Here is a 13329-nt window from a genome sequence, read left to right as displayed (position 1 = left end):
TGATAAAATTTACTTTTTTTTTTTTTTTGCTGTCTTTAACATTTCCAAACATTTTTATATGTACTTATTTTGATTCTCACTTTTATCACACAGATGAAAACCTTTGAGTTCTTTGGCATTAAAATCCCAGCATACTTTTCAAATGTCCTCCTGTGAATCATAATCAACTCAGAATACCACAGACTTGGTTTGTAAAACAATGATACATAGATGTAGTTAACCCAAAGACGTAGGCACTGCCTTCTTAGACTTCCCCAACTCAGTTACTGGCAACTAATCCTGCCAGTAATTGGACTCAACCCCACCCCCTCCTTTTCTCCCTTCCCTATTTCACTCTCCATATCCAAACTATCAGCATATTCTGTTGGCTCTACTCCAAATCCGTCCAGAATCCAGCCACTTTTACCACCACCATACAGCCATACCATGTCTTGCCTGCGACAGCCTCCAAATTTGTCTACCTGCCTTCACTCTTACCTCCCTAAGATCATTCTCCACATAGAAGCCAGAGTGATCCTGTTCAATCCTAATTCAGAGTATGTCACCACTCTATTTAAAACACTCTAATGGCTTCCCACCTCATTCAGATAAGCATCAAACTCCTAAGCATTGCTCTCAAGGGGCTAAGCAGCCTGGCCATACTGCCTCTCTGCCTTCATGTCCGACTGTCCAGTCTCTCTCTGCTCCAGCCATGTTGGCCTCTATTATTCCTGTATACATGAGGTGAGCTCCCTCCTCAGCGCCTGCACATTTGTTCCCTCTGCCCCAAATGCCTACCCTAGGATATCCATGTGGCTTGCTCCCTCATCCCCTTTAAATTTTTGCTCAAATGTCACTCTCTCAGTGAGGTCTGCAATGACTACCTTATTTAAATGACATCATTACCAAGTCCAACCATTACCATTCTCTAATTCCCTCCTGGGTTTTATTTCTCTTCATGGCACTTATGACCTTCTAATCTACTATATAATTTACTTATTTATTTTGTGTGCTTGGCTCTCCCATCTAGAATGTAAGCTTCAGGAGGGCACTTTGCTTTCTGCTATATCTCCAGCACATAAAAGTGTACCTAGCACTTAGTAAACACTTAAAAAATATATATTAGTTGGATAAATTTAACTGCGTCAAGAGGTAAACTTTTAAATCCTCAGAGATAACTAAACATATAGTTATACAGCTACATAAATATAATTACATTAAAAGAAACAATAAAAATTTGTGTAGGAAGACAAATCATATGGAGATAAAATGTACTACAATGTTTGAACTCTAAAGGTTACTCTGAGTGATTATCACAGAGTTTACTGAGAGCCGTGATCACGGCCAGTGCCTTCCCAGCCTCCCCCAAGGCACAAAGCTCCCACTAAGTCCACCTCAGGCTGCTAGGTCTAGGTGACTTGCTTTACCCCCAACTTTCGCCATCCCATTATTAGCATGCCTAACTAACATGCCTCTAATCGCAGACCACTGCCTGAATGTCTCTCATTATTTCCTGACATTCCAAGGATAGATTTCATGAGTCCTCTATGGGTCTTTTTCTAAATGCCATCTCAAAATTTTCGGCCCATCTTGCATGGGATTAGGCACCTCACACTCTCCCTAGTCTATCCATGTCCAGACCAGCCAAGCCTTCCTTTCTGCTGAATGACTGTTTCTGTGCTGACTTTTATTTAGGTTGCTCTGTTTTGAAATTTAAAGTGATTCCCTCATGTCCCCATGTCTAATCACATGCCCAAGGATTGTAATTATTATTTAATGGTTTGGTATAAGGACTTGATTAGTGTTACTATTTGTAAATTTAAACAATCTTTCTGTACTATTAACTTTTATCTAGAGAATTCAAAAGAATACTCTGTAATTATTATTTCTTCTACATCTACACAATTGCTAGTATTTCCTGCTAAAAAAAACTTAATATGGTGTATATTTAAGTCTATGAAATGTTACCAGTCAGGAAATAATTTTTGAGGAAAAGTAAAGCTCTAGTAGACTGCTGGAGACTACATATATTATGTAGAACAAGAGAATAATTTCTGAATTGCTGGCCATGGATACACAGGACAAATAACATGCTGCTGCAGAAATATTCCAACTCAGTTCCACATCTGTAAATTGGGGATAGAAATATCTATCTCCCAGGACTGTAAGGAAGATGAATGATAATATGAGAAAGGTGCCCAGAGCAATGACTGGCATATGAAAGGTGCTTAATAGGTATGATTATTTAAAAAAATTAAAAACTCCGAGGGCCTGAAATATGGCCAGATATTTAATGCCCATGTCTGTGTGCATGCACAAGTTCATGAATGTTTAATGCGGAGTCTATATCCTTATCTAGGTGAGTAAGTTGTCCTTATTTCATTCTGTCTTAGCAAACTGCTCTCATAGTGTTAGCCCCATTCTTGGCATCTCCTAATCTAGGCATATACTTCTCTCTCGCTTGTATACTTCTCCACCCAAACTTTCATACCCACCCTACCCATTTTTACCCCATGTCTATTCACAGCCTGAGTCCCCCTAGCTACTTCTCTTTTGATCAAACCTAATGGAATTCCTGTTTGTCTATGCTGGAAAAAAAACTCCCTTTTGTAGTAAACTTATTTTTCAAACTCTCTTCTTATGTCTAGCCCTAAATGAATGCAGAAACTAGATGATCACCTGTCAGGTGATTCAGAATTTAAATAAGGTGGGGTTGGGGAACACCTAAGATCCTTCCAAATTACAGATTTTATGAAACAACTGAGTCTTTCAATAACAACTTGTCTCCAGTTGTGCTCTCCCATGCAGGCCAAATCTCACATCCTACCAATTCACAAGCAACATGGAGGCAGCCTCTTCAATTCCTGAGACAGCCTAGTTCTCTAAATGACTCTAGGTGTGACTCTCCTGGCACTTTTATCATTTGAAATCACCATTTGTCCATATACTCTTTTAAACCTTCACTGGTAATTTCTATCACTCTGGGGATATTTCTAACTTTCTCAGTGACTTAAGGAAACTTGATCCTATTTGTTCACTTACCTCAATTCCCACCATAAGCCTGGGGGTAGGGCGGGGAAAAATTTCTCTCTTGCCACACAGCTGCATACCTACTCACTTATCATCTCCAACTGACTCCTCAGTAAAATCCTTACCATTGACACTTCAAGAGTTTTTGCCCCTTTCCACAAGCATTCATTTCTTCCTTTGTCACCTATACATTTGGACAGTGACATATCACCCAAATTTAGAGAAGACAGAAACTATGTGGTATAAGCATAATGTCTCATTTATCTTAATATCCTTATCTCTAATCCTAGACAGAAATAAGTCACAGGGAATGTCATGCTGGAAAGAAGGAAGAAAACAAAATATCTTTTCAGGAAACAGGGGGCACAGCAAAATCCCAAAGCCCTTTATGGCAATGTCCATTAATGTGGCTACGTAGGGGAATGGTGTAGGCCCAGGCAGAAAGGAGACAGAAGAGACAACAAGTTCATTAACTGATTATCATATAAACCTACAGATTCCTCCTCTTTTCTACAATCCTTTTGGCATATCATGGCCATGTTATGGTAGGCTCGAAATATCTGACTTACAGTCTGTTAAAGGTTAAATTTTGTTCCACAAAAATTCATATGTTGAAGTCCTAACCCCCAAACCTCTAAATGGGACCTTATTTGGAAAGAGGGTCATGCAGATTTAATTAGTTAAGATGAGGTCATATTGGAATAGGGCAGACCCCTACTCCAATATGACCAGTGTCTTTATAAAGAGTGGAAATTTGGAGACACACACACACACACACACACACACACACACACAGAATGCCATGTGAAGATGAAAATAGAGATTGGAGTGAAGCATCTACAAGATGAGCATGCCAAAGATTGGTAGAAGCCACCAGAAACTTGGTAAAAGGCTTGGTACAGGTTCTCCTTCATAGCCTCAAAAGGAAACAGTCTGCTGACAGATTTTTAGATTTTAGACTTCTAGCCTCCACCACTGTAAGACAATAAACTATTGTTTAAGCCACCTTGTCTGCAGTACTTTGTTACAGCAGATAACTAATAGAGTCCTAGCTCTAGAATTTTCTCATTTCTAAAGTAAACATTGTAATTCTTACAGTATCTACACCAATGAACAATAAAGTGCCTTTATTGTGCTTGCCAAGTGCCAAGAACTACGCTACATATTTCACGTAGATTGACTTATTTAATCCTTACCACAGCCCCATAATGCAGTTACTTGTATAATTTGTATCTTCACCTTTTGAGGTGATAGAACCTGAGGCACAGAACAATTAAGCTACCCAAGGTCCCATAGAATGTGAAGAAGCCAAGACATAAATGCAGGCAGTCTGATCAAATTACCCAGGAAATAACTATCTTTACAAATCATAAAGTCACCATTTTCATATCATTTCCCTACTCAAGAGCCTGTATTTCCCTCAGCAAAATGAGCAACAGTCTTGTCCAAGAGCTTTCATAATCTAGCTCTGGCCTATCTTCTCAATCTCATCCCTCGTTTCCTCTCTACATAAACTCCCCCTTCAGACTTACCTGCCCATCATTGCTTGAGCATGACTCACATTTCATTCCTTTATTCCCTATGTTACTCTCTCTTATCTGCTCCACATCCAACGTGGTACTTTCCTCATTCAAAGAACACAACACTCTTTAATGAAGCCTTCTTGGCAACTCCATCCATAAGCAATCTCCCCTGGGAACCCATGTATGCATTGCTCAATATTCTTTGAGAATTCAGGGACGGTGCCAGCCATGAAGGTGCTTATATCATCTTATAAAATGATAGAATAAATATTTATACAAACACTAAAATAAAATGAAGTTTGCATAAGAATGACAAAGTACAACTGAAATTTACAGAAGAGCTGACACTTCTGGCTAAGGTGAAGAAGGAAGGATGCACTGAGGAGGTAGTATCTGAATTGGGCATTAAAAAAGGGTCGGTAAGAATGTGTACAGATTTCACTGTCTCTGCTATACACTTAGTACTAACTATGTGCATACTGAGTTATGTGAATATACATGTTATCTTCCTGTCTCACATTTATTATTTCAGTCCTCTCTGTATCCAAAAGGGATTTGATCACCAACTCAGGTATAAACTGCTGGGAGGCAGGGTCTGAGACTTCTTTGTCTTTCTTGTAGTGTCAAACACCCTTGTGGAAAATAATAAAGAATATACAAAGAAAGGAAGGAGAAAAAGAGAATGTCATCAATGGAGATAAGTGAATTCCCATGACTTTTCCCTGAAGTTCTCCTTGACCTGGCAGCTGCTCCATATCTGCTTGCTCCTCTTCTTGTGCCTTTGCTCTGCTGGCTGATCTGCTTGTAGTGCTTTCTCCTTTCCTCTTTTTTGTATAAAATCCTCTGAGACCCAATTCATTCCCCCTCTTCTGCCCTTGGAACCTCTTCCTTCCTGCAATCCTACTGCATTTATGTCCATTCGGCACCTAATTGTTCTCACAAAGTTTCATATTCAGTTATTCTTCTCCAACCAGATTTTATAGCTCCTCAAGGCTGGAAACTATGTTATATTTATTTTGCATGCCTTCCCCTCTTCCCTCCACCTAGACATCCCCTCAAACACAGAAGTACCTGGCAAATACTTACTCAATGACTAAATCCTTTCAGTATGTCTATCACTAAAGTAAAATATCCTTTCATCTGACTCTCCAAGTTCAAAAGTACATTGGGAAAAGTTATATATTAAAACATTCATTCCCAAGTAACACAGATTTATCTTTTCTAAAACTTGCAATCACTGAACCAAACATCAGTGGCTTCACCAACAAGAAAAAAAGGTGTAAGCACATAAAGAAGGATCTGTAATATAACCACCCTAGGATCTGTAATATAACCACCCTAACACCACTAACTCCACTTCCTTATGTGCAGGGTTTATGATTTTATGGCAATTTGTAGTCTAAATACTGCCATACATAACCTTTCTTAAGAAAGAGATATTGGAAGTGGTCCAACAATCTGAAATTTGCAAGATGAAATTTAACAAGTTGAGATGAAATTCAACTTTTAAAGTTACCACAGCAGACATTCAAATGACATTTCTTAATTTAAATTTTACACAGAATAATTCTATGCAAGCCACATGAAGTCTAAAAATTTTAATGGTGAATATCTTGGGACTGTAACAAAGCACATAGATAATGGGATGAATCCACCCTGAACAGTACTTGTTTCCTTAGAAAAAAAGGTGGATCTTAAATTTTCACAAAATAGTTTAAGAAGGAATAAACTGAACTTGCATAACAGCAACAGATCAATTCCTGTTTTGCTCCCTATTTCTCTTGGGTTCTCATTAAAACCAAAAGCTCTAACTTACGGAAGAATTAAAGTAAAGATAGAGGAGGAAGAGAACTAGGAGTAATCTGGAAACTAAAGGGGCCAGCAAAAGACATTCTTACCTAAGATAACTTTGGAGGTTTTCAATGTTCCCAAGAATCAGTTTCTTTTGAGAAAGGTAATTTTGAAAAGTATTTTGAAATTGCTTTAAAACTATAGTCTATAAGACTAACCTGAAACAGAACTCGAAATGCCTAAGACATTAACTTTGCTGAGCTCCATTTCTTGGCATCCTTCAAGCCCACTGACCCATTATCAGCTCAGAGTGCATTTTCCAACACCTTATGCTGCATCAAAATGATCTTGCTTTTAAGATACTTCTATCTTAATTTCAATAAGCCTAATCTTGATATTGAGAAAAAAACAGAACCACAGGCCTAAAACCATGGGATCAATTCTGCTGGAGATTGCATCTTCTTAACAAAATAAAATAAAGTTAGCATTCTATTTATAAAAACACCATTATTGTTTTTAACCATAAACACTGCAATAAGAAGCATGGTATGACAGAAGTTTCCAGGTTCTTTCCTACATGGGCAACACCCATATTTTAATCACATGACTGATGAATGCCCCCTACATTCATGCAACCACTGAGATCCTTTCCCTCTCACTACCAGTCTGGTTCTACCATAGAAAATGATGTAGAGAATGGTAAAAGACAAGACTTAAAAAAAACAAGGTTATCTAGAATAAAAAAGAAATGTGGGTGGGGACTTAAGGTACAGTAAGGTGGTGATGGATGTGTTAATTAATTTGATTGTGACAATCACTACATGATGCATATGAATATCAAATACTTAGGTTGTATACCTGGAATATAGATATTTATTAATTAAATGTTTCTTCAAAATTTTTAAAAATAAAAAAGAGAAATATGGAGGAAAAATGACCTGTTTGGGAGAAAACAGATTAAGCAGGGGATGGAGGAGTTTTGCAATGTTTACCTCAATGAAAGATTGATCTTATATATGATCAATATTTAACCAGTCAATAAATACTTTGTTCTTATAAAAATACCAAGTAGAAAATGTAAAGGCATCTTCTATGTAAAACATTAAAATATTTTCTTCTATATTCACATATTTAAATCATTTCTAATTTCTAAGATTTTCAACTTTAAATAAGCAGAAGTCATAAATTAGAGCCCCAGAAGATAAATTTAACATCCCTTCAAGGCAACCCCATTTAAACCTTTCTAAACAGAAAAGAATTCAAAGGCCTTTTTCAGAAATCCATCCTAAAGGATAAAAGCATTCAGAAAAACTTCCCTGTATTTACCATAAATCCTTCTTGATGCTTGCTTTAAGTTAATTTCCCCCTTCTTTTCTTCAGGGAAGATGGAAAACAGCTGTTCAACGTTCCCTTTCAGGCTACTTTTTTCCTTCCTGACAGGTCCCTACCCTCCTTGGGAGAAATGTAAACACTGCAGGTGATTCCAAAATCCAGTTGGCCCAAGTCTGATTACCCATGGGGTTGGTGAGCCTGCCCCCATTCATACCACCTGGAATGATATCATCAAACTGCAAAGGTCCCAGGAAAAGATTTTTCCCCAGAATTTGTGAAATTCTAGAAATTCATTGGATATAGTCTGTCCTCACATATATTAAAATGACAAAAATAGCACAGCTTCAAGAATAAAAGTTTAGTCAGAACTGTCTAGAAGGTAAACAAGGTTGTATTACAGCGGGTACCTTGGTCTTCATTACTGCTCTACACCGTGTTGGATATTGAGTGCACCTTGGTGTAAAGTATTTTTAAATGACCTACTGATTTTTATCATGAAATTCCTGAGTATTTGTCACTGAGGCAATTTTCTCAGTGACAGAAACTGTCATTTCTCATTTCTAAAACTGAAAAATTCTAGAAATCCCTTTCAGTACCCCAGTCTAAAGGACTACTCTATAAACAAGTGTCCATTTCTAGTCAGTTATTTCTTTAAATGAGCAATGTATATGGATTCACGACATCATCTGCAGATTACTGCATTTTACAAAAAAAAACTTACACAACACTAATGTTGCTACCTACTTCAGGAACTGCTAACAAACATCATTTTTCTTGCAACAGCCATTTGACAGCAACAATAAGGCTGATATATTGCCTTCGTACTTCATCAATAAAAACATTACAGACCCACAAGCTTGGTGAGCCTATTTCCTTTACAAATTCCTTTTTAAAAGTTAGGAAGTACTGATTCAACTTTGTTGCGGTATAATGTTTGTACGCATTAAATGCCTATTATTTAGTAGCTAAGTTTGTTATTGTTATGCATGATAAAAAATGCAAAGCCCTGACTTAAGCAACAAACACAACTTTAAAACTCTACGAATATTTCAAATGGAAAGATTTAAAGGACAGCTTCTTAAACTGACTGTATACCTATTCAATTTCTACTAAAAGAGCATGAATGCTAATTTATACACACACTGGGGATTTCTATATGATTATTCTGCTATCGTTCGCACTGAGAGGAGAGAAACTATTAAGTCTAGAAATAAAACTCAAAAGGTGGGGGTTGGCATGCAGACACATACATTCAGTTGCAAACTCTTTCTGACTCTGTCTTGGACAAAGCAGATGAACATAAATAATCTACAATGGATATGTCACATATATGTAATTGAAAGCCAACTGCCTATATGTCTTTTGTTATATTTTCTCTAACAAGACTACACTTACCTAATAGGTATAACTATTCCCAAATATAAAATGCCAAAGCAAATTATGCTTATTTGTCAGTATTGTTCATAGCTTCTACATATTACTGAAGGGCAAATTCTGTTCTTTCAGGACTTATTTACTAACATTTAATGATAACACTACCAAAATCATGTTTACAAAATATTCCAAGGGAGCTGAAGCAAACAGAAGGAAATCCAGTGGTAATCAGTACACATTAAATTTCATATGTTATTCTGAATTAAAGACTGAACAAACTACTCCATTCAAGAAATAAACAGATCGCCTCAATAATCTTTTCTTCTCTTTCCAAATTAAAATCATTCCCTTCTTCTTTGTGATCTCTAACAGGCTCTCTGAACACTTTTCCTCCAGCAGGTTTATACTCTTCTGGGCATCTGAAAGAGGATCTGGAATCCACACCCTCAACAGGCTGGAACTTGCCTACACATGGCAGAAGTAAGGAACACAATCAGTAAAGGTAAAAATCCTGAAGCCAGCTAATGAGAACTGAGCAATCGGCCCAGGGCTTTGCAGGAATTAGAAGTGGCCCCACAATGGAATCCTCAGAAGGCATGAGAAGAGATAGAGAGAAGTGGAAGAGGACGGGGCTGCGGAAAGGGGGTCTGTAAATAGCCAGTTACATTAGTCTAGGAAGCACATAAGCATTTTAGGGAGCTGATGGTTCATGAGGAGTAGTGAGTAGTAAAAGGGATAATAAAGTAGACAACAGGAAAATAAAATGTTAGAGTCTTTAATAATATGAATTTGGAGTCACAAGGGATAAAAGTAGGATTAAATGTGTAATTTAAGTTAATCTTCTATTTAAGGTATACCACTAATGACTTGAAAATGAAAGACAAGTCTTTTACCTTTAGTATTTCCATTTCCATACCCCTAAAATGAGGGTAAGACACTAGCTCTATATCACTGTCCATTTCTACTACACTAAAATATTAAAATATTTGAATTCTTTGAAAAAAAAGTTAAAAGTACTGGGCAATTTCAAAATGCAAGTATTTATGTAGATGTATGTTCAGGGATTTTCCTTTACGGCAATTCTCTAAATGCATATGAATTTATAAGTGAGAGTTTACTAATAGTAATGGTCCTGCTATCCTATGCACAATACCTTGTATTTCTCTTTCTAGTTTGATTCTTTTCTGCAAGACTTCAGCATCAACTAATCAAGCCACTCTTCTATACATAACTAGAAGTTGTGAAACACTAAAGTGAGATGATAGAAATTTGGGATACATTTATTTACCATACACATAAAAAAGACTTTGAGGCAGGATCTTGCTCTGTCGCCCAGGCTGGAGTGCAGTGGTGTGACCATAGCTCACTGCAGCCTCGAACTCCTGGGCTCAAGTGATCCTCCCATCTCAGCCTCCCAAGTAGCTAGGAAGAAAGATTTTTCTTTAAAGAAAAATTATTTCAATTAAACATACTATCCAATTAATGAACAGTTTAATTTTTAAAAGCATATTTCCTATTAGAATGGGGCATTAGAGTTGAGAAGACTTTGTGAAACATACATTCTTCATTATTGTTATCATCAAATGGTACATCGATCAGTACACCTCAAGAGTTTGGGATTTTAATCTCTACTTCCCATTCTAATTCACCATATGAATTTCATAGGAAAATAATTTTCCTTTTCAGTACTCTGGGCTTATATATAACTTGCCTCATTGCCATGTTGGGCACCAACTTGAGGTATAAAGAATTTTGCTGTGTCACCCAAACATTTGCTGGTAATTTGGTGCTCCCAGAGAGTTTTATTCTAGCAATCACTATAGGGGAAGATAACATAATCCCATGAGAAAACCTTAACATATTTGCTATGGTTTGAATAACTGCCACCTCTAAAACTCATGTTGAAACTTTACCTCCAATGTGGATGTGGCAGTATTGAAAGGTAGGACCTAGAGGCGATTGGGTCATGAGCCTCTACCCTCATGAATGATTAATCCATTCATGGATTAATAGGTTAATGGATTCATGGGTAATCACGGGAATGAGACTGATAGTTTCACAGGAAGAGAAACCTGAGCTAGCATGAACAACTCCCTCACCATGTGAGGTCCTGGATCACCTCGGAGCTCTGTAGAGTCCCCACCGGCAAGAAAGCCCTCCCCAGATGCAGCCCCTCAACCTCGGACTTGGGCTCCATAACTGTAAAAAATAAATTCCTTTTCTTCTTAAGCTACCCAGATTCAAGTATTCTGTTATAAACAATAGGAAATAGAGTAAGCATTTAAGAACTGTCCTATCCTCTTCTCAGGCACATTCTTTTAGTAGGGTTATGTCACTAAATCTCTTCAGGTGCCCTACCCACTCCTTCAAAATAGTAAAGATCCAGCCCCCTCAGCAAACAGAATAATAGTATCCACTATAATGAAGTTCCCTCTACCACAGATTCTGGCTCTCCTCAAAGGCCTGCCACAAACACATCCTAAGTCAGTAACAGTATTTCTCTTTTTTTATTTGGGGAAGGGGCAGTGGGGTGGTGAAAAAGGATAATATTTACTATATTTATGATTCAAGTATGCTAATGGTTATGTAATATTTAATATATGCTACAACCACAAAATGCTAGTCTTTTGGGAGTTTCTTCTGAAAGAGGATCTGGAATCCACACCCTCAACAGGTTGGAGCTTGCCTACACATGGCAGAAGTAAGCAACACAATCGGTAAAGGTAAAAATCCTTTGACAGTTTCAGGTTATGTAATATTTAATATATGCTACAACCACAAAATGCTAGTCTTTTGGGAGTTCCTTTTTGAAAACAAAGATTACCAATATACTAAAACTCAAATTTAAATATTTTTTCTTTTTTTCTCTACAATTATTTATTGAAATAATACTATTGAGTGAAAATCATGCAATTTCTTTCATGCAACACAGTGTGATCCAAGGCAAGTATAAATAAATACCAAAATATTGTATCACAAATAACATTAAGAAATGTATAAATATTTTATTGTTTAATCGCAAAATGCACTTTCATCAGTGATCTTAAAGCACCTTTTCAGAAATTAAAAAGAGACTATAACGAGGCACTGGGAAGCATCTGCGAAGTTAAGAGCTTCATCTCATGGATGACCACCAGGTCCTCTCAGGGCAGCACTGCGAGATATTGAACCGGACAGCCCATAAAATCTCATTGAAAGGAACTGTATTAGCTTGTTTCTGAACGAATTTCGTAAATACTAAAGCAGATGTACACACAAACATTAGTCACTAAGATGGTCCTGATCTCACATAGCAAACCTAGTTGATGTCTCACCCAGTGCTTTTTCAACAGGTCCCCAAGATCAGGAAGGACAGCCTCAATCTAGCAGTATTGAGAATGGAACCTAATAACCCCATCATGGCAACTGCCTGTACTGTTATCAAAGTATCTCTTGGTCAAAGTTTCTTTTCAGATGGAGTCTTCTTCTGTCGCTCAGGCTGGAGTGCAGTGGCACAATCTCGGCTCACTGCAACCTCCGCTTCCTGGGTTCAAAAGATTCTTCTGCCGCAGCCTCCCAAGTAGCTGGGACTACAGGCGCGCGACACCACGCCCAGCTAATTTATTTTTTGTTTTGTATTTTTAGTAGAGACCGGGTTTCACCATATTGGCCAGGCTGGTCTCGAACTCTTGACCTGGTGATCCACCTGCCTCGGCCTACCAAAGTGCTGGGATTACAGGCGTGAGCCACCGCACCCAGCCCTTTTTTTTTTTTTTAATTCCCCTTCACTTGGTGACTGTACTTTCAGTATTTTTTAAACTGTCAGAATGTACTTTTTAGGCCAGTGTTTTTATTTAACTAAAACTTCATAAAAACGGATACTGACGTCATATACTAGTCAATGAAAAATAACTCTTCCCAAGCTCAAACTTAGGAAGTGCTGCTTATTGATGTTTCTCAGGTTCTACATTAGCAGCTCCAAGAGAGCTAAGGCTGATCTCATATACCTGTGTATGTAACCTAGGTAACCAGCACTATCTTGCACTTTTTGCTGAACCCACACAGACGGGTCACTAGGTGATGGAGACATCAAATTCAATCTGTTATCTTCTCCATTTTTACTAGAACAGACCTTACCTACATACTTCAGAAAAGAACTTATATCTGTATCGTGACCGTCAAAGGAAGAGGTCACAATACAGAAATCTAAGTATTTGCATGAAACAAATACTCAGATAATCCTATATTTTATTTTCTTCCATGCACATTAGGTTTTTTGTGATCCCATTTAGTAATATAGTTAGAATACTCTATACAATAT

The 13329-nt window shown here is 37.5% G+C and overlaps 1 protein-coding gene across 13 annotated transcripts in view; it reads right to left on the bottom strand.

The window, feature by feature from the left end:
• The window catches only part of DSE (dermatan sulfate epimerase), a 190691-nt gene that overhangs the window by 59020 nt on the left and 118342 nt on the right, over positions 1 to 13329 (bottom strand). The window lies entirely within an intron of this gene.

The sequence above is a fragment of the Homo sapiens genome, chromosome 6 (assembly GCF_000001405.40).
Source record: "Homo sapiens chromosome 6, GRCh38.p14 Primary Assembly".
NCBI classification, from domain to species: domain Eukaryota; kingdom Metazoa; phylum Chordata; class Mammalia; order Primates; family Hominidae; genus Homo; species Homo sapiens.
The sequence above is the reverse complement of the archived record's forward strand: the minus strand, read 5'-3'. Positions and strand labels throughout refer to the sequence as shown.